The 25,034-nt window shown below is 39.0% G+C and overlaps 1 protein-coding gene across 7 annotated transcripts in view; it reads right to left on the bottom strand.

Annotated features, from left to right (window-relative positions):
• DHRS9 (dehydrogenase/reductase 9) overlaps positions 1 to 17,835 on the bottom strand; it is a 29,091-nt gene extending 11,256 nt beyond the window's left edge. The window contains exons 1-5 of one of the 7 annotated variants that reach the window (XM_047442839.1): positions 17,645 to 17,835; positions 15,195 to 15,459; positions 10,446 to 12,337; positions 3,018 to 3,389; positions 1,325 to 1,583 (exon numbers count right to left, since the gene is read on the bottom strand). In XM_047442839.1, the coding sequence (XP_047298795.1) occupies positions 1,325 to 1,583; positions 3,018 to 3,330 (572 nt within the window). In that variant the 5' untranslated portion in view covers positions 3,331 to 3,389; positions 10,446 to 12,337; positions 15,195 to 15,459; positions 17,645 to 17,835. Of the gene's footprint in view, positions 1 to 1,324; positions 1,584 to 3,017; positions 3,390 to 3,759; positions 3,806 to 10,445; positions 12,338 to 15,194; positions 15,460 to 17,644 lie in introns of those variants that run through there. The other 6 variants (XM_011510475.2, NM_199204.2, NM_001142270.2 and 3 more) reach the window with 6 other exon arrangements.
• Between the last annotated feature and the right edge of the window lie 7,199 nt (positions 17,836 to 25,034).

Raw genomic sequence — 25,034 nt, 5'->3', positions numbered from 1 at the left:
TAGCTGGGCAAAGATTTCTTGAGTAATATGCCACAAACACAGGCAACTAAAGCAAAAATGGACAAATGGGATTACATCAATTTGAAAAGCTTCTGCACAGCAAAGGAAACAATCAAAAAAGTGAAAAGACAACACATAGAATGGGAGAAAATATTTGAAAGCTACCCATCTGACAAGGAATTAAAAATCAGAATATATAAGGAACTTAACTCTATGGGGAAAAGTCTAATAATCCAATTTATAATGGGCAAAAGATCTGAGTAGATATTTCTGAAAAGACATACAAGTGGAAAATAGGTATATGAAAGGTGCTCAACATCATTGATCATCAGAAAAATGCAAATCAAAAGTACAATGAAATATTACCTTACCCCAGTTAAAATGGCATATTTACAAAAGACAGGCAATAACAAATGCTGATGATGATGTGAGAAAAGGGAATCCTCGTACACTATTGGTGGGAATGTAAATTAGTACAACCACTATGGAAAACAGTTTGGAGGTTTCTCAAAAAACTAAAAATTGAGCTACCATATGATCCAGCAATACCGCTGCTGGGTATATACCCAAAAGAAAGGAAATAAACATATCAAAGAGATATCTACACTATCATGTTCGTTGTAGCACTGTTCACAACAGCTAAAATTTGGAAGCAACCTAAATGTCCATCAATAGAAAAATGAATAAGGAAAATGCAGTATATATATACAATGGAGTACTATTGAGCCATAAAAAAGAATGAGATCCTGTCATTTGCAACAACTTGGATGGAACTGGTGGTCATTATGTTAAGTAAAACAAGCCAGGCACAGAAAAACGAAGTTCCCATGTTCTCACTTATTTGTGAGAGCTAAAAATTAAAACAAACTCATGGAGACAGAAAGTAGAGAGATAGTTACTAGATGCTTGAGAGGGTAGTGGGGGTGAGAGGGAATGGTTAGGGGGTACAGAAATATAGAAATATAACTAGATGGAATGAATAAGATCTAGTATTTGATAGCACAACAGGGTGACTACAGTCAACAATTTATCACAGATTTAAAAATAACTCAAAGAGTATAATTGGATTTTTTGTAACACAAAGAAAGGATAAATGCTTGAGGTGATGGATACTCCACTTACCTTGATGTAATTACTATGCATTGTATACTTATATCAAAATATCTCATATAACCATAAATATATATACCTACTATGTACCCACAAAAATTAGAGATAAATATGGTAGACTTTTTGAAAGGTACTAAATAGGATGTCTTGTACATAAGCATTCAGTAAACGTTTGCAGCTATTGTTTCCTAATAAGTTGATTAATTTGATTTACCTTAAGCTGTCATTGAAACCTTCCACTGCATATTTGGATGGAGTATAGCCCCCTCCAACGATTGCAAGGCGACCTCCAACACTGGAGACATTAATAACTCTCCCTTGAGCTTTCTTGACCAAAGGAAGCATATTTAGTGTCACACTGATGAGTCCAAACAGGTTCACTTCAATAGGTTCTCTGTAGTCCTCTAGTGTCAGCCAGTCAGTGGGAGCCAGCACGCCGGGAACACCAGCATTATTGATCAGACCCCAGAGACCTAGAACAGAGAGGAAGGAAAAGAGGTGTGGTAAGACAGTACTTATTTGCCACCTTTGATGAAAATACAGCCCCTGCTTTGCACAATGGTGCCATTTCCTCCTTGAAGTCATTTTCCTACTCTGAAATACTTCGCAGTTTTGGGAAGTGATAGCAGAGAGGGTGGGAGGCTAAACTGAAATAGTTCAAGTTCTCGCTGTTACTCTATTTCTGGTTCTGAATGTCAAATACTGAAACTCTGTGAGTGAGTCTTTCTGCTTTTTAATCTCAGATGTAGAGTAAATTGATCTATTTTTCTTATTATACTTTAAGTTTTAGGGTACATGTGCACAACATGCAGTTTGTTACATATGTATACATGTGCCATGTTGGTGTGCTGCTCCCATTAACACGTCATTTAACGTTAGATATATCTCCTAATGCTATCCCTCCCCCCTCCCCCCACCCCACAACAGGCCCCGATGTGTGATGTTCCCCTTCCTGTGTCCATGTGTTCTCATTGTTCAATTCCCACCTATGAGTGAGAACAAATTGATCTATTTTTCCTGCCTTGCTAGATAGTAAGGCCAGAGAATATTTATATAATGTTCTGTATGGACAAAGAGTGATATCAATCTACTTCACATTTATTTTTGGTTAAGAATTCAGTCATTCACTTGGCTTGTTTAAAATGGGAAACATTTAGTATTTTTAAAGGTGTTGGAATTCAAGTGTTAAAAATCGAAGCCTTATCAAATCATTGCTTTTGAGCTTCAGAGTCTCAGCTACATGATCAAGATGTGCTAGAAAAAAAATCGCAAACATTTGTTTTTTCCTTTGTGAATCCTAACATCTTAATCCATGAGAATGTTTCACACTTCATTCAAAGCCAATAAAAATTCTTCTAGTTCAGAATACAGTCACCATAGCAGAATCTATTGCAGAATGGACATCCAAAGGCTCACTACTCTACCTTAACTATGTAAGACACTCATACTCAAATTCTCAGGCCATTTTCAACCTTGCCCATTGAAAATGTGTGAGCTTTAGAATCATTTTGCAGGGAGAAGTGGGTGCCAGGTATCCAGATGGCAATTTGGGAATTGCCCCCATATTCTCCTGTACATTTTAGTCTAAATTCCTTTGCTGTATATGGGGCAGGGGAGAATAGCCCTTTACAGGAGAAGACCATGGAAAGTCAATACTTTCATCTCAGCCCTGAATTCACCCACTGAGACTTAGGCCCAAGGGTCTTCTGGGCTGTGTTTCTCATGCACACAGACAGCCTGTACTTGGAACTACTCAGAAGCTATCCTAAGATTAGAGAAGTACACAGCCGGTATTTAGGAAACATTTTCTCGAAAGGCCATTTAAAACTTGAGCATGTTTTATTTAGCTTTGGTTACCTCCCTATCCCCTATCCCTGTCCCATCCTACCCACTTCCATGTCTCTCACCTTTCTCCCCAACTTGGTTCTTCACCCACTGGGCAGTCCTCTTGACATTCTCTGGGTCGGTCACATCCAGAAGCACAGTACGAAGTCTCTCTGAGGTTTCTGCCTTTAAAGCTGTTGATCCTGATTCAGTCAGACAGGCAGCGATTACATGAAATCCCTTTTTATCAAAAGTTCTGGCTGCCAAGTTTCCAAAGCCCGAGTCACATCCAGTGATAAAAATGTACTTATCAGTGATGTCTTCAATCTTTAGTTTTCCTTTACGAGTCCACAGAAAACCACAGAGGATTAGGAGGCCTAGCACCCAAAAGAGCATTTTTCCCCCTGTGTGTGATAGGTACACTCCTTTCTTGTATAATACAAGAAGATGGTGTCCTGAGTGTTCAAAGTGAAAAAGAAAATTCAAATTAGAACTACCAAGGCATTATAACCCAGGACTGATGAATTTGAGATATTTTAATGCATTAGTGTGGATAAATAGAAAGTTAAAGAAACAATAACTCTTATTTGGTTGTTTGTTGGGAAGATGGCCATCTAAATGATAAATCGTTCCTCTAAAGTAATGCAAAAACTAACCAAGGAGTATTCAGAGAAATTAAATGGAAGAGAGGGAGAGGGGAGCCATGGCAAAATTGACACAAGCCATTGAGTTGCCACGGCCAGCTGGAGCTATGTGGAGTGATGGTATTAATCTCAGGAGTGAACTCGTCTATCAGGAAGACAGACCCTCACAGTAAAATCTTACCTCTTGCTAGTTCATGAAATTCCACTGCAGAATGGGCTTAAAATCTATTAGAAACAATAATTCAATTTTAATTGTTCTGTCAGACTCCCAATTATCTTCAAACTGTCAGGAGAAGAAGAGCATTTTTTGTTGCCACTAAGATATTCCCAACTTGGCTTCCATTTTCTTATTTTAAATGGGTTAATGTCAATCTTCAACCCAACTCTGAGATCATTACACCCCAATGCAGATGAGTATTAAAGTGGGAGGCAACAAGTGAGTTCACCAAGAAAGGGCAAGATAAATGGGAAGTGACTGAGAGGGAAATGCTGGCCAATGCACCATGTCCCAAACCAGACTCCCACATCCCCAAATTCTGTCTTCTGTGAACACCAGTCTCCTGTGAGAAAAAAATCACATGGACAAAGGATAAAGCCAAGCAAATGTATGCTGTAAAACGGAAGCTTTGACCATATGTGCAGCAGAACTACTTGGAAAATTAATTTTGTCAGGGCTAGAGGTAGCCTAGGGCCTAAAATCAGGCAGGTAGAGGGCTTTCTTTCCTTTTTCTTCAGAAGCCTGCATCTGCGTTTCCCCTCAGCATATATTACTCTTACCATGGGGTACTGGTGCCAGAGAAAAGCAAGCCATCCAGAAAGAGGAAGTGAACAAGAACCTGAGGTTTATGCCTGGGTGCCAAGGCTGTATGGCCAGCTGCCTCAGGTCTGAGTACCATGGGCCCAGCCCTCCACACTCAGTGATGGGGCAGCCCAAGAGAATGAGATCATCAGCTCCCTCCCCACAGAGGAGCAGGTCTGTGTTGGCTCTCTGAGCCTGTGGAAGGGAGAGGGGCTAAAGAGAGAACCACATGTGGGAAAGACCTTATTTTCTTCCTCCATGACCCAAAAAGCTTCCTCCTGTGTCCACGCAATATCTTTGCCCTTAATCTTGACCCACCCTGAGACTCCAGAGGGGCTTTAAAATGCCTCACAGAGGACAATCAATAGGCCCTGAGTTGAAGTTCAGAACTTGTGGGTGCTTTTGGAATCATGGCTGTTCCTGGACACTGAGTTCAAAAAGGAACTGAGAGGCCAAGCGAGTTTATAGACTTTGGACTTTATTTTCTTTCTTTCTTTCTTTCTTTCTTTCTTTCTTTCTTTCTTTCTTTCTTTCTTTCTTTCTTTCTTTCTCTCTCTCTCTCTCTCTCTCTCTCTCTCTCTCTCTCTCTCTCTCTCTCTCTCTCTCTCTCTCTCCCCCTCCCTCCCTCCCTCCCTCCCTCTCTCTCTCTCTTTCTTTCTTTCTTTCTTTCTTTCAGATGGAATTTCGCTGTTGTCGCCCAGGCTGGAGTGCAGTGGTGCAATCTCGGCTCATTGCAACCTCCACCTCCTGGGTTCAAGAGATTTTCATGCCTCAGCTTCCTGAGTAGCTGGGATTACAAGCACCTGCCACCATTACAGGCACCCGGCTAATTTTTGTATTTTTAGTAGAGGTGGGGTTTCTCCATGTTGGCCAGGCTTGTCTTGAACTCCTGGCCTCAGGTGATCCACCTGCCTCGGCCTCCCAAAGTGCGGGGATTACAGGCGTGAGCCACCACGCCCAGCCTGGACTTTATTTTCTTACAATTATTTCCTAATTTTTCCTTCGAATCCTTTTCAAAAATCATTTATTTTTTTCTGCTTGTAAAAGTAATTTATCCTCAAGAAAAAACATAGAAAAAAAGAAGATAGTAATGATTATAACACTTGATTCAATATTTTAGTGCATTTTCCCCATTTTCTTCTGTATTTGTAAAGTTTTCTTTCTAGATCAAGAAATATAAACATACACACAGAATTTTAAACACCACACACACAGACACACACACACTATTTTTACTGCTGTTTGAGAAACAGACTATTTCAGATTAAAAAAAATCAATGTAATGTCTTCTTCACTTCTCAAGAAAATTTCGGGCTCTGCTTTTATCTTTCTTCCCCCAGAAGATCTATAGCTAAAGAAAAAAAAAATGATAAAAGAATTGTCAGTTCAGCCGGGCCTGGTGGCTCACTCCTGTAATCCCAGCACTTTGGGAGGCAGAGGGGGGCAGATCACAAGGTCTGGAGTTTGAGACCAGTCTGGCCAACATAGTGAAACCCCATCTCTACTAAAAATACAAAAAATTAGCTGGGTGTGGTGGAGGGTGCCTGTAATCCCAGCTACTCAGGAGGCTAGGGCTGGAGAATCAGGCAGGAGAATCAGGCAGGAGAATCGTGAACCCAGAAGGTGGAGGTTGTAGTGAGCCGAGATCATGCCATTGCACTCCAGCCCTGGCGACAGTGCAAGACTCTGTCACAAAAAAAAAAAAAAAAAAAAAAAAAAGTCAGTTGATAAAAATTAAGTCAGAGGAATATAAAAATATGTTTGGAGAACCTACTTGATTCTTGTGGTATAGCTACAGCTATTTCTGAAGTAGTCAACTTTTTAGATTACCATGGCTTAATAATTTGGTATAGTTTTTCCAACTCTTTTCTGTGTAAGAGTTATAATTTGTTGCAAATCAATGTCCATGTAGCAAGATTTCCCGTTCTCAAATACATTATAAATGTATAATTATGGGAGGGGAAGTGGTATAACTAACTCTTGCAAAATTACATGTTTAAACCTTTTAAGGAAATTTTGTATCTACAAATTCAACTAATATAGCGTTTTGCTCAAATCTGGCTTCAGTAAATAATCACCGAAAGGCGAAATGTTTAATATATTTTCTGAATGGATTCTGCAGCTTTCATTGCAGTCTAAACTCCCAGGGGAATTATTTGAAGAAGACAAATATTTGTGGGGTTTTATGTTCTCTAGAGCAGAGAGTTGGAAGTTTTTGTGTTGTCATTTTTACCAGGGGCATGCACGAGGGAGTCACAGTAAAATAATGTCATACATTAGTAAGGCACTCTATGCTGTGCTTTCACACACAGGTCTCATTTTGTCCTCTCAATAGCGTTTTGAGTTAGAGAGGGCATATTATTTGCCTTAGAAACTGGCTCAAAGCAACAAAGTGATTTGCCAAGGTCACTGGGACTAGAGTGCTGTGTCCTTCCACTATAGGAGACAGATGAGGGGCTCTGGGGACTGGAGCACTCCACTCTGGGCTGGGCTGAGAAGTGTCCAAGCTGACAAGCTGAGTTGATAAGGTCGACACTTCACATCTTGTCCATGATTGCTGAGAGGCAGGGATAAAAGTCCACTGGCCAAAAGCAACATCTGACATCTGAAATAGTTGTGGCTACAGAGTCATCTCCCCTCATAACCTCCTCTGTTATAGTATAATAACTGACACAAGGTCCCAGAGGGGAAAGTAGATGAGGGAATGGGGGAAGGGAAGCCACAAGGAGGGTATGTTTCATGCATGTTCCTGTGCATGAAACTGGGTTACCAGCCCCTAAGGGATTGAATTCAGTTGGATGGATGATTTGGGCATCTATGAAAGCTTCTCAGACAAAAGGGTGCCATTAGAACTTTGAGAGAGTCTGTGGATAGAATTCAGGGGTTTCTACATTTGGATGGGAAAAAGATCCCATCTTTTTTTTTTTCCTGAACTGTAATTGAAGTTTAGCACAATCTTCAATTACGGAAGAAACAACAAACCGCAGTAGTATTTGTATTGCCTGTGATTTTGTTACCAATAGAAATAATAAATATTTTCATGTTACATTGCATTTGTTGGAATTATCTCAAAATATGATTAATGCTGATTACTACTTCAAAATTATGGTGGTTATTGTTCCTGCCACCATGTTAATAAAATAAACTTATAAATATTTGGATGTATTTCAATACAGTAGTTTTCTTTTGTAATACTATGTATTTCACTTCAAGTGTTAAAAAAGTTATTCTCACTTCTGAGGTAGCTGTAGTAGTGACAGTCATGTCAATCCAAATTTCCTAGGACGTACTCCAAAAACTATGCACAATTCAAAGAGAAGAACAAATAGAATCACATAAAATCCAAGCCTCCACCAGAGCTAGAAAACAGACAACCCTATTATTTCAAATTATTTGATTGAGAAAATAAGCACAGCTGACATCTGAACAACGTGGGCTGTTGGATCCCATATTGGATCCAAACTGCCTGGATCCACTTATGTCTTATTTTCTTCAGCCTCTGCCACCCCTGAAACAATAAGACCAACCTCTCTTCTTTTTTCCTCCTCAGCCTACTCAACATGAAGATGGTAAGGGTGAAGACCATTATGATGATCCACTTCCACTTAAAAAACAGTAAGTATATTTTATCTTCCTTATGCTTTTCTTAATAATATTTTCTTTTCTCTAGTTTATAAGAGTACAGTATATAATACATATACAAAATATGTGTTAATTGACTATGTTTTTGGTAAGGCTTCTGGTCAACAGTAGGCTGTGAGTTAAGTTTTGAGGGAGTCAAAAGTTATACATGAATTTTCGACTGAATGGGGCACTGGCGCCCCAATCCCTGTGTTGTTTAAGGGTCAACTGTAACTAAGCTGTGGATGATGGAAGCCAGGCTTCACACTGTCAGAAGGAGGAGTAGCAAATATGAAAAAGGAGAGGCTGGAATGAACTCTGTGGAGTGGGATTATAGTTGGAAGAATCAGTATGAACTCCTGGTTTTTAATATGAGTCAGTAAATACAAAAATGGATAGGTAACTTTCTAGATCTACCCGATGAGCTAGAAACAATGACACTCCAACAACAATGAACATACCAAGGGCTCAGAAACCAATTTCTAAACATTGTGTTCATGTTCTTTGGAAAAGCTAACATCAGGGCTGAGCTTGGAGGCGAATGTACAAAATAAGCCTGGAGCATCTTATGCTACAAGTAAGTAAGTGCTCAACGAATGCTGGAGATACATCACTAGTACATAGATGTCAGCTGGAAGGGGCTCCCACTGGCGAAGTAAGAGACAATTTGAGCATCAAAGCCAATAGTGATAATGGGTAATAACTCATTAAATCAGATATGAATTCATGAATCCATTCTGAAGTAAATCAATCAATAAATAAGGATAAATGGAAATTTTTCCTTAGAATTAATATGCCATCTAATAAGTGTCAGACGAATGATGGAATTAGAATATCACCATTTGGCAACTGACATAGCAACAATGGTTTCAGGCAGGAATGATCAATGGATGCTAAAACTAGTGGGTCAAATTCCGATGACAGACAGTCATTATAGAATCTCAAAGAATCTCCCTGTCATATACTTTCAAATTAAAGAGAGAATAATGGTAATTTTATAGTGGAGAAATCTGACGGATACCACCTTAACCAAGTGATAAGGATTCACATCACTAGTTATGGAACAAACCAACATCGCATGCCCCCTGAGATGGCACACAGGGAAGGACACAACAGCTCTTCTGTGGAGCATCCAAAGCTAATTATGCATGGGGAAACATCTTCCAGTGCTTCTAAATATATGGCTGTACTCTTCAAAAACATCAAAGTCATGAAGTAAAAGAAATACTGAGGACCATTTCAGATCAAAGGAGACCAACGAGATACAACAACCAAATGCAATATGTGATCCTGGATCAAAATTTTTTTTTCTTTTTTCAGAAAGAACATTATTAGGCCAGCAAGTGAAATTTGAATAAGATCTTAAAATTTGATAAATAGTATTGCATTAATATTAATTTCCCAATTTTGATAATTATACTGTGATGATGTAGAACATGGCCTGCTTTTTAGGAAATACACACTGAAGTATTTAAAGAGTAAGGAGCATCATGTCTTCAACTTACTCTCAAACAGTTAAGAAAATAATAATGATATGTATATAAATAAACATTAAAACCACACATGCACCTATGTATATAGAGAGGAATGAGAAGGCAGATGTGGTAAAGTGTTAATATTTGAGGAATCTGGGTTGTCCTAGTCTCTAAATTTTTCAATAATTCTGAAATTATTTCAGAATAAAAAGTTAAAAATTTGGCAAAGGAAAGTAAAGCTTTTTTTTCTGTGAAAAGATTTTATTAGGCTACTTTGGATGTCATGCACAAAATAAGTAAGAACCCCAGACTTTTGGAGTGTAGTAACTTGTATACCACATTGCCTGTCATCTATGCTTTGGTAAGCTCACCTCTACAACTACCAAAGAAGAACGAAAGCTCAAATCTAAGTAGTTGGATTCCCTCTTTACTCCTTGTCCATTCTGCTTCCCCCTCAATCTCCACCTTTTCTATGCAAACCCATTTTTCCCTGGTGACAAGCAAAGAGGAAATTTTGCTGTTAAGAATGGACTCACATTAAAATGTATTGTCCTCATTAGGTACAGCTCTGGACTGAGGGTCATTTAGGCCTACAGTCTGAATCCTAGGGACTGCCAATGCTAACCTAGAGTTTTGCTACACTCTCCTTAACTCAAGTATTATTGCCCAGAAATGCTGGTTCAGATTCCTCTAGATCACTCGACTAAATCAACCACAAACACACACATATCTTTGACCTCTAGTAATATTTTAGCCACGATGCCAACTCTGAGCAGCAACCTGGGTCAGAGCCATGGGAACATGACCTATACACAAAGCTGATTGATGGCCAATTGGTTCATTGACCACTGAGAAATAAATTAGTAACAGCAACTAAAAGGCTAATAGGGCTACCTCAACCACACTACGCCAGCTGTGGTTACCTCTGCACGGCCCCTTGGTCCCAACAATTCAGAAACTCCAGGAACTGACCTGGTTGCTTGAGTTGTTTGCTTATCTGCTGTGTCTTCCAATTTATCGCACAACAAATTGCTTAATAGGGCGTAAATCTCTTGGCTCGAGGCAGTAGAGCAGTAGTTAGGAGCCCAGACCTCAGAAGCAAGCAGGCAGAGGTTCCATCCCAGTTTCACTATCATCAGAGGGCCCTCGGACAAATTAACTTTTCTTAGCCTCCATTTTCCTACCTGTAAAGTAGAAATACAACATCTACCTTGGAGAGTACTGGGTGAAGTGACCTAATGTCTGCCGTTACAGTAAGAACTTTGTTATCTTCATGGCAGGGTGAATCACTTTCACTTTATGAGGCAGTCTGCTCTATGTATTGCTCATATTTAGGCATTGATTCCTCTAACTGAGTAATTTTGATATTTTGGGCCAGGTAATTATTTGTTGTGGGGTCAGTCCTGTGCATTTAGCATGTTTAGTGGCATCTCTGGCCTCTACTCTCTAGTCAGCAGTAGCACCCCTCCCCAAGTTGTGAAAACCAAAAATGTCTCCAGATAATGCCAAATGTCCCCTGGAGGACAAAATATCCCCCAGTTTAGAACCACTGTTCTAGAACTTCCTAGTGTTGGGAGTCCAGAATATCATAGCACTAGAACTACTTTTCTGGAAACTTAGTCATTGGTTCCTTGGTAGTATCACATTGATGAGTTTCTTTTTTTAATGGCCTCATGGAAAAGTTGGGTTACTTATAAAAATTACTCATATCCTGCTGCTGCAAGCATTAATTTCCCTCTATATAAATATTTTAAAATGTCTTTTTGTCATCAGGAGGATAAGAGGCTGATATGGTTTGGCTCTGTGTCCTCACCCAAATCTCTTCATCCAATCACCTCCCATCTGTTCCCTCCCTCAAGGTTTACCCCATGCTGTTGACCCCCAGCTCCTCTGGGGGTACCCTTTGGTGGGTGGCCAACTGACCCTACAGAATTCAAAATATCCTCCTAGCAAATCTATGATTCTCAAGTTCCTGGTTGACCAAGTCAGGGAGGAATGATAATAACTGCTATGGTTCATTGAGTGCCTAACATGTTGTAGGCCGTTTCCTAGGATCTATAAATATTTATCTTATTTACACCTTACGACAAAATTATCTTCACTGTATAGAGGAGGAAACACATTCAGAAGCTCTGTTTAATTGGCTCCAGCTACAGTTGTAGTGGCAATTCCGGGACTGATACCCAGACCATTCTGTTCTACCACTGCAGTCTGTATTCCCACTCAACTCTGGGCTCTGCATATACTTCTCTACATTACCAGTTCCTTGTATGATACTTGGCATTATGTTGATGTTTAGTAAATGTTGTACAGCAAAGAAGGAAAAAAGGAAGGAAAGAAGGAAGTCTCCACTGTAGCTCCAGAGTTCTAGTGATAATTGGATTAATCTTTGAGACCTCTGAATCGCTGGGGCAAAAGGATGATAGCAATTATAATAATACATAATATTCACACTTCCAATTTTGATAACATTACAAAGTTTTGGGAAGTGTTTATGTAATATTTATCTCATGTAATTGTCAAGATATTTCTGGTGTAGAGTAGAGGTCATAACTATGGTCACTTGCCAGAGAGTGACCAGAACTAAAACTCTCTGAACTCTAAACTGTGTGAAAGAGAAGGAAGAACTGCAAAGAGATGAACACATTATCAGTCGACAGCAGGCACAAGAACACTTTATCAAACTTTCTCTACCATATCACAAAGATTCAAAAGAAACCAAGAAAGGAGAACTAGTTTTGTCTTTCATACACCATGCACAATGCTTTATAGTAACTGCCTGTCAGCAGCCAAAGGAAAATATTGCAACTCGAGCGCTCTCCTTGATCACTTCTGCTTTTCTTTTTCTTCCTGAGTTTGTTTTCCTAGTAAAAAAGTTAAAATAGGATTATTTAATTTCACTTCTCTTATTCACCTTCCTCTGTTTCTTAAAAATAAATGACACAGTTTAAAAAAAAGAACAGAAAATATCTCAATATTATTGTGAGGTATACTTTTTATAAGCAATGTAGAGTTCTTTCTAGATAGTTCCTCCCAGACCAGTTGATTTTATTTCCACATAACTTCATGAAGTGTTTCCTTTTAGAAAGCGATACCAAAGCTAGTCAACCACACTGTCAGGAGTTTGTAGAATCTTTATTTACTTCCAATGTGTTGCAATTGTGGCCCAAGTTGAATCAACAACTATGTTGTTTACCAAAATACATCAAATAGAAAACATTGAGCAATGATTTTCTAAAGTATTCTCTTTTTGGAGTTCTCTTGCATGGCTTTCTGAATACTGAAAGCCACTGAACATGTATGCCTCTTGTATATTTGAATATTGTAAACCCGGTTGACTTAACACAACATTCCTTTTTCATTTTTTCCTTTTCATTGAAGTAAAAAAAAACTGGTTTTTGTTTTGTTTTGTTTAAAAAAAAAAAAAAAACCCAGGTGGCTTTTAGAGATTTCTTCCACACTTAAAAAAAAATGAACACTGGAACCTATTGACATAAACTAAAAAATTATGTTTCTGTGAGAAATGTGTTCAAATGGTCCACCCAGAAATCTGAAAAAAAAATTTTTTAATGGCACCAAGGGACCCTACATTAAATGTGCTTGCATTAAGCAACGAATGCTTTTTTGAGAGTCTGACTGAAATAACAATTATAATAATTATTATGCTGCTGATGATATAGTTGAGTTGGTATTTATCGTCGTGGGAGGGTAAGTTCCCTTACTCAATGGATGAAGAAGCTCCTCCTCTGGTTAGTTACATTTGCCCTTGATTCCTGCTTCCCTGAGGGCAGGAGGTAATCCTTGGCAGCCAGACTGTGCTTTGGGTACTGGGACAGCGAGGCATGGAGTTCGTGTGTACTTCCACTACAGATTCACTCAGACAGCCTCCTCAGGATGTAGCTTCCCTCCCTCCTAGCAGAGGTGTACCAACTGCCTCAAATAGGGAAGATCTGCTGGATTTACATTTTGCATTTTTAGTTCTAAGGATAAAAGCATCTCTGATTTTCTTTTGCCTTCCTTCAAAACGTTTAAATTATAATTCACCATCACATCCCTAACTATTCATTAATTATCCCAAGTCCCTCCTAGGTTTATTATTTTGACAATGTTTCCTGACAGTATTAGCAGGTTACAAATTATTGTTAAAGCTATGATTACTTTATTTATGGTCACTGCATAACAATTGCTATCTGGGAAAGATTATATGTTGTGTACAGTTATCATTTGTAGTCACAAGGCTTTAAGGAAAGCTTAGAACATAGAACATATGTATAGGTTCCAAAAGTGTGTTTAAAACTTCAGTATATTTCAGCCACAGTGATCTTTGAGCAGAAGAAAAGGTCTGAGTTTTTTGTTGTTGTTGTTTTTTTTTTTTGAGACGGAGTCTCGCTCTGTCGCCCAGGCTGGAGTGCAGTGGCGTGATCTCAGCTCACTGCAAGCTCCACCTCCCGGGTTCACACCATTCTCCTGCCTCAGCCTCCCAAGTAGCTGGGACTACAGGCGCACGCTGCCACGCCTAGCTAATTTTTTGTATTTTTAGTAGAGACCAGGTTTCACCGTGTTAGCCAGGATGGTCTCGATCTCCTGACCTTGTGATCCGCCGGCCTCGGCCTCCCAAAGTGCTGGGATTACAGGCATGAGCCACCGCGCCCGGCCAGGTATGCGTTTTTAAACACTGTCCCTTAAGACAGTGACATTTGTTATAAGAGTTTTAACACCAGTTCCCATTTCCTACTCTTGAAATATATGAGTTAATGATTTTTTTGTGTGTACTTAAACATTGAAATTTGTTCTAAAATCTGAGCACCCTCTTTGAATATTAAAAATAGAATAGAAAGGTGGTATAACATTTAACTTTGATTTGATGCAGCGTGTAGCCAAGGAGATTTTTAGAGCAGTTAATATATGCCGAGGGATACTAGGATAAATAGTACAGAAGCACAATCTGTGCCCTTGGTCTAACAGTGTAGTGGGACATTTCAGAGCCATTTGTACAACTCTAACTTGATTGTTGATTTTAAAATGTATTTATTGAAGCACACCTCCTAAACATCAAGTCATTGCGAAAGGAGCCATATCATCATTTGAAAAACCAAACCACCGGATCATAAAATGGGGAGTAAATATCTAAAGCAGGCTTATTGCTGCCACCCCTGGATCCAGGGATCAAATATGAATTGTTGGGAATTTCCCTGCTTTTTTATGACCTACAAGGCATTTTTTCCCCTCAGTTTAGTGAATATGTGTGTGTATTCATGTAAACTTACATCTGATAATATTGATAAAGCGGACAGACAAACAGATCAGACCTGCAGTTGACAGAGAATCTGCTGCTTCAGTAAGAAACTCATCTAAGAATCCTGTGCTTTTTGGAGACTTCCCCCTCCAGTTTCCAATTAATCATAAGATTCACAGATAGTGTCAAGAAGGCACAGAGAAAATAAAATATGAATTGAATTGGGACACTAGGGTGCTAAAGGACATTCAAAGAGAGTCCTGGAGGAGTTCAAGGCAAGATCCCAGGTCACACCGAGGTCATTTCTATGGTGAGATGGACCCAGCTCCCATCACTGGGTTCTAATGTGTTACATTAAAAGAAGTAGCAACATTGACCACAGCTTGAAAGACCACCGATTCATTCTGCAAGAGTGAGGAAAATCAAAGAAAGTTTAGATTGACTTGATAAATAAAAGAATAAATGACAAAACTGTCATCAGTTACCTTATTAAAGATGAAGTGGGACACAGAAACTGTTGGTGGACTTGCTCAGCTGATGGCAGCTTTCCTGCTGTGCACGGGGAAGGAAGAGTTGTGCCACCCTGGCCAGGCTGATCCTCTTGAGGTCGAGGTGCCTGGGTTTCCGTAGAGCTCTGAGTACTACATGTGTGAGGAATCCTCAGGTTCTCTCCTTGCTCTGTGAGTCACTCCCATTGTGACACAACGTGATGACTAAATATCTCTTGAATAGCTCATAAAAGCCAAGAAGCTGTAGGTCGCATGTTTCAAAAGGAATCAGCAGTATAAATTTAGCTACTTTTAGAAGAGACTTTAAAATGATCAATAACATTCATTTTATGATTAGTACAATCTCTTGACCAAATTCAGCAGCAGAAATAATATAACAAAGAAATAAATATTTTGTAAACTGCCTGGTGCGTGGTTTTAATAGTTTTCAAATTGTGATTATTCTTCATAATCTCCATTTTTTCCTTCCTGTTAGCATGCCTTGGCTTATTTAACACTCCTTCCCTCCTAAGAGAATAAGTAGGAGAAATCAGTCTCTGAGATTGGTGTTACCATTTTTTTTAAGATGGGCGAGCAAGGAGATAAAAACAACATAATAAAATGAGGTTTTGGAATTACTTATGGGTCTTAATTTATGTTTTAAGGTATGACAAGGAGAGCTTACTAAAGTGGTCTCTGGAACTGAGACCGCTGAGAATAGGAAAGGATGCCTCCTCCCCTCCCAGAGTTTGTCTGTGTCAGAGTTGATCACAGTTGACCTGGCGTATCCTGGGACCACAGTGGAAAGTACTGAGGCCGCAGGCGAGGAGGGGAGGAGATGGTGCTAATCTAGCCTGCCACCCTTCACCTTCACCACTGTAGCCACTCAGGCAGGTACAAATACCACTTTGCTGATTTTTCATTTTCAGTTTCCTCGTATACCAGTTTGTTGCTATACTCTTCTGATTTCCCAGACTCTGTATTCCTCCTTTGAAAATTGCAGTTATTATGGTTCAACTGGAATGAGCACATGAATGAACATATCTGTCTAGGTAGAGTCAGGACACTGCTATCACCCTTTAAAATAAGTAGTGGTCTTTTTTCTTTAAAAGAACAACAAACCCACTTTGGGAGGCCAAAGCGGGCGGATCACTTGAGGTCAGAAGTTTGAGACTAGCCTGGCCAACATCGTGAAACCCCATCTCTACTAAAAATACAAAAAATTAGCCAGGCATGGTGGTGGGCACCTGTAATCCCAGCAACTTGGTAAGCTAAGACAGAATCTCTTGAATCTGGGAGGCCAAGTTGCGTGTGAGCCAAGATCGCGCCATTGCCCTCCAGCCTGGGTAACAGCGTGAGACTCCGTCTCAAAACAAACAAAAACAAACAAACAAACAAACTGAAATTTACTCAGGTTCACATTTAGGGTGCCCCAAATGTGCTAAATATGCTTTTTCCTCTTTAGCATTTCATAAGTATGGCTTAAATATAAAACCTCATAGACAATACATTGACTTAGAGCCACATGAAGTAAGGTATAAATAATTAATACTGAACCCTTCCTGTGAGCCTGTTATTGTCACTAAGAGGAGAAGAGAGCCTCATGCACCTGGGTGGTCATGCAGTGTTAACTGAAAAGGGCAAAGAAAAAGTTATAACAATAGTTAAAATTTTGCTACTTAATGAACTCGCCTAGTGCAGCCGTGTTTCAAAAACTTTCCAAATAGACTTAAAAAAAGTCAAATGTTTAGACTGATTTGCATATTGGAAATTAGAATTCTTGCCATCTATCTGGCTTGTCCCTCAATTCCTGTGGGCCCAACTCATGGGTTCAGTTTCAGTATATGGCACCACAGCCAGAACACCCCCTCTCCTTGTCCAATGGTCCCACATAGGCGATCAGTTAATGAAGTCATGTTAGCAGTGTCTTATCCAGACTGTAACCATATACACATTCAAATTCATATCTCAAGTGCCAAGTTGTCTTTCATTTCACCTCTTTAATATACAACCTTTGAAAGTGCTACTTTGTTCAGAACTCATCCTACATTGACTTCAGATCAAAGATCACATTAAAAAAAAAATCTGGAACCAAATTGCCATTTGAGTTTTTTCCTAGTTCCTTTTTAAAACAAAGGAGTGCACTGTGCATTTTATTTTAATGTTTGTAGGTGGAATGTAAGTATACAGTGGTAAGGCTAGATGCCACCACAGACAACACACTAAAGATAGAGTTATCCTTTTTCTTCTGAATCTGTATGCCTCCCATACTTCTACCCAAGAGTATCTTCTCCACCCCTTTCCAAATACCAAAACATAAGGAGGAAACTCAGATCTGAGGCTGTCTCAGGAGACATACGTTAGGCTTCCTGCAACTACACCATTCTGGGGATGGTCTAAGTCACAGATCATTCTAAGATGAGCTTCAACTGGAGGAAAGCACTTACTCCAGTGTGCAGGCTGTGGTGGGTCCAACTTCTGGAGTATATCCAGTGTCACTCTTGTAAGGCTGACCAGGAGGGTGAGGCTGGTGATAGAGCATGCACAGTGGCTTCTTCCTTCTGGCATAATGATGTAATCCTCTCTCTCAAGTCATTCTCAGTGGAACATGTTTCTCTGAACGACTATAAGCTGCTATGAAGACTTCATGTTTTAAAAGTGTACTTTATATTTTCTTCCTCCTCCCTTTGTCAACAGGGAGTTCTCTTATTTCTACTGTAAAGGGAACCTGTACTTTGGTTCCCTTTTTATACAAACAATGCCTTTGACATTTGAGTAGCTTCTTTGGCTAGGCTTGGTCAAAACCAGGAGCTTTGTTACCCATTTGGCCTTTCATGACTCTCCCAGCTGTAAGATGAAGCAGGGCTAATCTTTTGTTTTTCTCTACTATGCAATCTTTAGATATACAAATAGAGATGGAGTCATGGGAACATTTGATAGATTCTTTGAATAAAGATTTTTCTTATTTACAGAGCACATATCCTTTTAGCTTACCCAACAAGAGGTCCTGCGTTGAAAAGTGAAGTGAGAAGTATTATATGGGGAATTATTGTTCTGGTAGATGGAGCAAGAGAGAAGATAGGTGAGAATGAAAGTAACAAATGAACAGAAACACTGTGGATTTTCAGCAACTTGAAAGAAGGAAAGGTGAAGGCTAAGAAAATGTGTCTGTCACAGAGGGAGGGAGGTGGGTGCTCCTTCTGGTATGACCATCACATGTTCACATGTGAGCATTAAAAATTTTTTTCCTGGCTTAAGAATGATCTTCCTGCCAAGTTTCCTAGTTTCTTTCAATCCCTTTCAAAAAGAAGGCAACTTCTTTTTCCCAGAATCTTAACTGAGATGATAAAATATCAAATGAAATTAAGAGCAGATGCTAGATGCAGCTGATTGTGTAATATGCAAGTACTATCCAGTGGGAAAGAACTCACGGGGATTCATGAAGTGGGGAGGAGTGAGTTAGAGACAACTGTCTTCAGATCCTGTTTGGCTTGTTCTGGACTTTGTTTTGGGTTGTTCTGGACTTCAGACCCTGTTTTGGGTTGTTCTGGGCTTTGGTTCTGTGTGAGGCCTATTTGGCTAAAAAGATCCAAAGATGAATAGAAAGGGGCCTTTCTATTGAGGAATAATTCACTGTTAGCTCATTTATTGCTGAGTAAGGAATCTCATAGACTTTCCCCTCTCCTTGGAGAACCCCTGATTCTTGCTGGCTCCTTGAGACTATTTAAGATTGTGGGGGAAAGGGCGATCTTATCCTTTGCTGATGGATATGTGAATTGCTACAGCCTTTTTTGAAAGCTGTCCAGAAAAAAAATCTGTTAAAATAAAAAGCTACTATTTGAGACAAAAATCCTGCTCCTAGGATTCTATCCTATATAAATGTATATAAGTGTATATGAACAGGATGGGGCAAAAAGAACTGGGAGCAAAGCAAGTGCCCACTAGTAGTGAGATAACTGAATAAATTGTGGTACATATGCACAGTGGAATATTATTTTGCAGCCACTAAATAGAACAAACTCGAGCTCTACTATTTGACTTGGAAGGCTTTCCATGACCTCATTTTTGTAAAGCAAACTCTGTGTACATATGTAAAGATACCTATGTGAATATGGAGAAAAATATGAAAGGGTATGCACTCTGTTTTTAATATGGGTTACTTGCAGATAGAAGGTGTGGGCAAAACAAAGGCAAGGATGAGGTAAGAGAAAATAGAAAAGTTAGCTTTTAAAAACTGCACTGAAAATGATAGGATCTGACACAATGAAAGCAAGAAAATATCCTGCCTTTCCCCCACCAAAAAACCCCAAAACAAAAAATCCTGAATTGAATGGGGCCTTTATATCCAATGACCAATTCACAGGGAAAACAGAGAATAAAGGAAACAAGTGCAACTATTCTCTAATCATCAAACCAGCAGGGGAATCTGAAATACAAACAAATTGATTTATTCAATAGAAATAAATTACACACACAAAATGGAGAGGGAATACGGCACGTTCTCACCTATAAGTGGCAGCTAAGCCATGGGTACACATGGACACAGGTGGACATAATAGACGCTGCAGACTCCAAAAGGGGGGAGGTTGGAGGGGGATGAGGGTTGAAAAATTACCTTTTGAGTACAGTGTTCAGTATATGGGTGATGAGTACACTAGAAGTCCAATATCCCCCATTACACATGTAACATCCATGTAACAAACAAGCATAAGTAACCTCTGAATCTAAAACAAAACAATCAGAGAAAATGAAGGAACAAGCTTTAAAACAACAAATCTATTTATGACAATGTTTATCTAAAACAAAACAGAGAAAATGAAGGAACAAGCTTTAAAACAGCAAATCTATTTATGACAATATTTATGACACAATTATAAATTTAAATAATGGATATTTGATAATTAAGGAATTATTAATTTTTCAGATATGATGATAATATGGTTATTTATAAAAGAGTTTTTATATTTTAGGTCAATTACCTAATTAACCTAAGTATTAATGAATGAAATATATAATATCTGGGATTTATTTCAAAATAATACAGGACTGTAAGGAATGGGTAAAGGTGTGGACAGGGCAGGATGACCTATGGGTTGTTGGTGGGGCTGGCGATATGTACATGGGCATTCATGATACTATTCTGTCTACTTTTATGTATGTTTTAAGTATTCAATTATAAAAACTTAAAATATAACATGACCGGGCCAGGCGCGGTGGCTCATGCCTGTAATCGCAGCACTTTGGGAGGCCGAGGCGGGGGGATCACGAGGTCAGGAGATGGAGACCATCCTGGCTAACACGATGAAACCCCGTCTCTACTGAAAATATAAAATTAGCCAGGCGTGGTGGCGGGCGCCTGTAGTCCCAGCTACCTGGGAGGCTGAGGCAGGAGAATGGCGTGAACCCTGGAGGCGGAGCTTGCAGTGAGCCGAGATAGCGCCACTGCATTCCAGCCTGGGTGACAAAGAGAGACTCCGTCTCCAAAAAAAAAAAAAACATGACCACACTTTATTATTTATACAGAATATTTTATAAATATGCACATATTTTTAAAAGAAATTTAAAAGACTGATTTTGATATTTTTTAAAATTCTCCTGACTTAAACATTCTCCTGAGTTAGAGTTAAAAACTGCATTGTAGAGGAAGAGGGGGATACACTGAGATTAACTTCAGGTCCGATACCTGTGCCGGGATGAATATCTTCTTAAGAATGAGCTGCCAACTCAATGGAAGGTATAGTTTTGCTGTCAGCGTTTTACACTGCTGAATACCCATTCAAATGTTCACTGTTCCTTTGCCATACGGTGTTAAAAAAGTAGATACCTCATTGCTATTTTTTAAAATGCTTCAAATGCTCTCCTTGTGGTTATGGAGTTGAGCCTGTATTTGCAAGGCAATACTACCTCGCAAATGTCAACACAAGTATTTTGGATAGTAATCAACAAAACCAATCAGGTCCCAGGTATGTCTTGTGCAAAATACTTTGCCAGGTGTTTTTGGAAATATAAATAATATAGGACACTAACTTGGCCCTCAACAAGCTTGCAATATCTGGAACAGTTGATGGTTTTACACCTAAATATCTTTATTCTCTAGATACACTGGATTCATTTAGTTTGCAAGCTTTATTGACACTGTTATGTTTACTGAAATTTGTGAAAGACCATCCCCCTTTGTGCTTTTCTGAATATCATGTTACTGTCCTACTCGACTACAAGAACGTAAACTTGACTTTATGGTAGTTGTTTATTTTTAAATGTAAATTATTAGTTTGAAGGCAAACTGCCTATAAACTAATTGGAGTGCAAAATTGATGGGGTTTGGGACACATTACCCCAAAATATGGAATCTTAGCATTTAAGGAAATGGCAGAAGCAGTATGTCACGTTCACCCTTGCCCCTTCTTTCTTGAAGCAGGTCATAAAATGTAGCTGACCTTCCCCTGAAGTAGGTCATAAGACACTCATTCCAGTGGTGCCCTCCCTGTACCTGGAGGAAAGAAATGAGCCTATCTCTGAAGACACAAAAACAGAAGAATCTGAACAAACAAGCCTTGCTAAATCTCCCTGTTTATTACCATTAGCTCATAGCCGCTCTAGCTAATCATACTTCTGCACAACTATCCACTCTTCCTAGCATAAAAACACACAGGTTTACCTGGATCTCCAGATCTTTATTTATGAAGTCTCCTGTGTCACGTAAAACATTTATTAAATAAACTTGTATGCTTTTCTCTTGTTAATTTGATTTTTGTCATGGGGCCTTAGCCATGAACCTGGCAACGAATGAGGAAAGAAGTTTTTCTTCCCTTACACATCACATCCTGGGAATGGTAATGTTAATGAAACTTCCAAAAATAAAGGACATATCATTATAACTACCCTGTTGAAGTCGATTGGCTGTAGAAAATGGCCTGTAGTGAAGTAGATCTGGCCTAACACAGGTTAATTTTCCAGCTATCAGTGGCACTCTGTGTGATACCAAGCATTTGTTAAGTAAATGTCCCACATGAACTCTGTTCTTGTATCTTCACAATGTACCAGGAGAACTTCCTCCTGGAACTTCCTTCTGAGTTTTCCCTGTGCAGGGGGACCTGTTTTTCCAACTCCTCTCAAAGGAAGGAGAGCCTTTCCTTGCTGAATTAGAGCTGTAGCACTGTGGTTTTGGCTCTGTCCATCTGTATGGAGGCTTATTTAAACAAAATCTCCAGGGTCAATAATCCCAGGAAATGTTCTGTACTATTCTTTTTAGTTAGTTTTTTTTTTTACCAAGTGAAATGATTCAGTCTCATCTAACAAAAATGGGAAATAAACAAAAAGAAGAAAAAGTACTCCTTATTTATCAAATCAGAGTAATACTAACAATCTTTAATTTTGTTTGCCAAGTACTACTCTGCAAGTATTATCTCATTTAATTAGCACGACAACCCCATGCTGTTGTTTCGGCTCCAATTTATAGCAGAGAAAACAGACTCAGAAGGGTTAAATAACTGATCAAATTAACTTATTCAGACTTAGATCTGTCTTACTTCAGAATCCATATTGTTACAATTAATCACGATTACAATTTAGAATACATCCATTTAATCTTTTATTCTCTGTGATATTTCTTTCTCTCTCTCTCTACATATATATACATGTATAATTTTTCTTTCATAAGGGAACTGTGACCTTCCTTTTTTTTATATACATTTATTTTAAGTTCAGGGGTACGTGTGCAGGTTTGTTATGTAGATAAACTTGTGTCATGGGAATTTGTTTACAGATTATTTTATCATCCCGGTATTAAGCCTAGTATCCATTAGTTATTTTTCCTGATTCTCTCCCTCCTCCCATCCTCCACCCTATGATAGGCCCCAGTGTGTGTTGTTCCCCTCTATGTGTTCATGTGTTCTCATCATTTAGCTCCCACTTATAAGTGAGAACATGTGGTATTTGTTTTTCTGTTTCTGCATTAGTTTGCTAAGGATAATGGCCTCCAGCTCTATCCATGTTCTTGCAAAGGGCATGATCTCGTTCTTTTTATGGCTGCATAGTACTCTGTGATGGATATGTACCATATTTTCTTTATCCAGTCTATCAGTGATGGGCATTTAGGTTGATTCCATGTCTTTACTATTGTGAACGGTGCTGCAATGAACATATACGTGCATGTATCTTTATAACAGAATGACTTATATTCCTTTGGGAATAAAACCAGTAATGGGATTGCTGGGTCAAATGGTATTTCTGTCTTTAGGTTTTTGAGGAATTGCCACACTGTATTCCACATGGTTGAACTATTTTACACTCCCACCAACAATGTATAAGCATTCCTTTTTCTCCACAACCTCACCACCATCTGTTATTAATATTTTTGACTTTTTAATAATAGACATTCTGACTGATGTGAGATGGCATCTCATTGTGGTTTTGATTTGCATTTCTTTCATGGTCAGTGATGTTGAGCTTTTTTTCAAATGTTTGTTGGTCGCATGTATGTCTTCTTTTGAGAAGTGTCTGTTCATGTCCTTTGCCCACTGTTTAATGGGGTTGTTTTCTCCTTGTAAACTTATCTAGGTTCCTTATAGATGCTAGATATTAGACCTTTGTCAGATGTGTAGTTTGCAAAAAATTTCTCCCATTCTGAGAAAATTTTTGCAACCTGCTCATCTGACAAAGGGCTAATATCCAGAATCTACAATGAACTCAAACAAATTTACAAGAAAAAAACAAACAACCCCATCAAACAGTGGGTGAAGGATATGAACAGACACTTCTCAAAAGAAGACATTTATGCAGCCAAAAGACACATGAAAAAATGCTCATCATCACTGGCCATCAGAGAAATGCAAATCAAAACCACAATGAGATACCATCTCACACCAGTTAGAATGGTGATCATTAAAAAGTCAGGAAACAACAGGTGCTGGAGAGGATGTGGAGAAATAGGAACAGTTTTACACTGTTGGTGGGACTGTAAACTAGTTCAACCATTGTGGAAGTCAGTGTGGTGATTCCTTAGGGATCTAGAACTAGAAATACCATTTGACCCAGCCATTCCATTACTGGGTATATACCCAAAGGATTATAAATCATGCTGCTATAAAGACACATGCACGCATATGTTTATTGCAGCACTATTCACAATAGCAAAAACTTGGAACCAACTCAAATGTCCAACAATGATAGACTGGATTAAGAAAATGCGGCACATATACACCATGGAATACTATGCAGCCATAAAAAATGATGAGTTCATGTCCTTTGTAGGGACATGGATGAAGCTGGAAACCATCATTCTCAGCAAACTATCGCAAGGACAAAAAACCAAACACCGCATGTTCTCACTCATAGGTGGGAACTGAACAATGAGAACACATGGACACAGGAAGGGGGACAACACACACTGGGGCCTGTTGTGGGGTGGGGGGAGGGGGGAGGGATAGCATTAGGAGATATACCTAATGTAGATGACGAGTTAATGGGTGCAGCACACCAACATAGCACATGTATACATATGTAACAAACCGGCATGTTGTGCACATGTACCCTAAAACTTAAAGTATAATAATAATAAAATTTAAAAAAAAATTTCTCCCATTCTGTAGGTTGTCTGTTTACTCTGTTGATAGTTTCTTTTGTTGTGCAGAAGCTCTTTCGTTTAATTAGATCCCATTTGTCAATTTTTGCTTTTGTTGTAATTGCTCCTGGTGTCTTTGTAATGAAATCTTTGCCCATGCCTATGTCCTGAATGGTAGTGTCTAGGTTGTCTTCCAGGGTTTTTATAGTTTTGGGTTTTACATTTAAGTCTTTAATTCATCATGAGTTAATTTTTGCATATAGGGTAAGCAAGGG

The sequence above is a fragment of the Homo sapiens genome, chromosome 2 (assembly GCF_000001405.40).
Source record: "Homo sapiens chromosome 2, GRCh38.p14 Primary Assembly".
NCBI lineage: Eukaryota > Metazoa > Chordata > Mammalia > Primates > Hominidae > Homo > Homo sapiens.
Note: the sequence above shows the minus strand (reverse complement) of the source record. Positions and strands in the feature narration are given on the sequence as shown.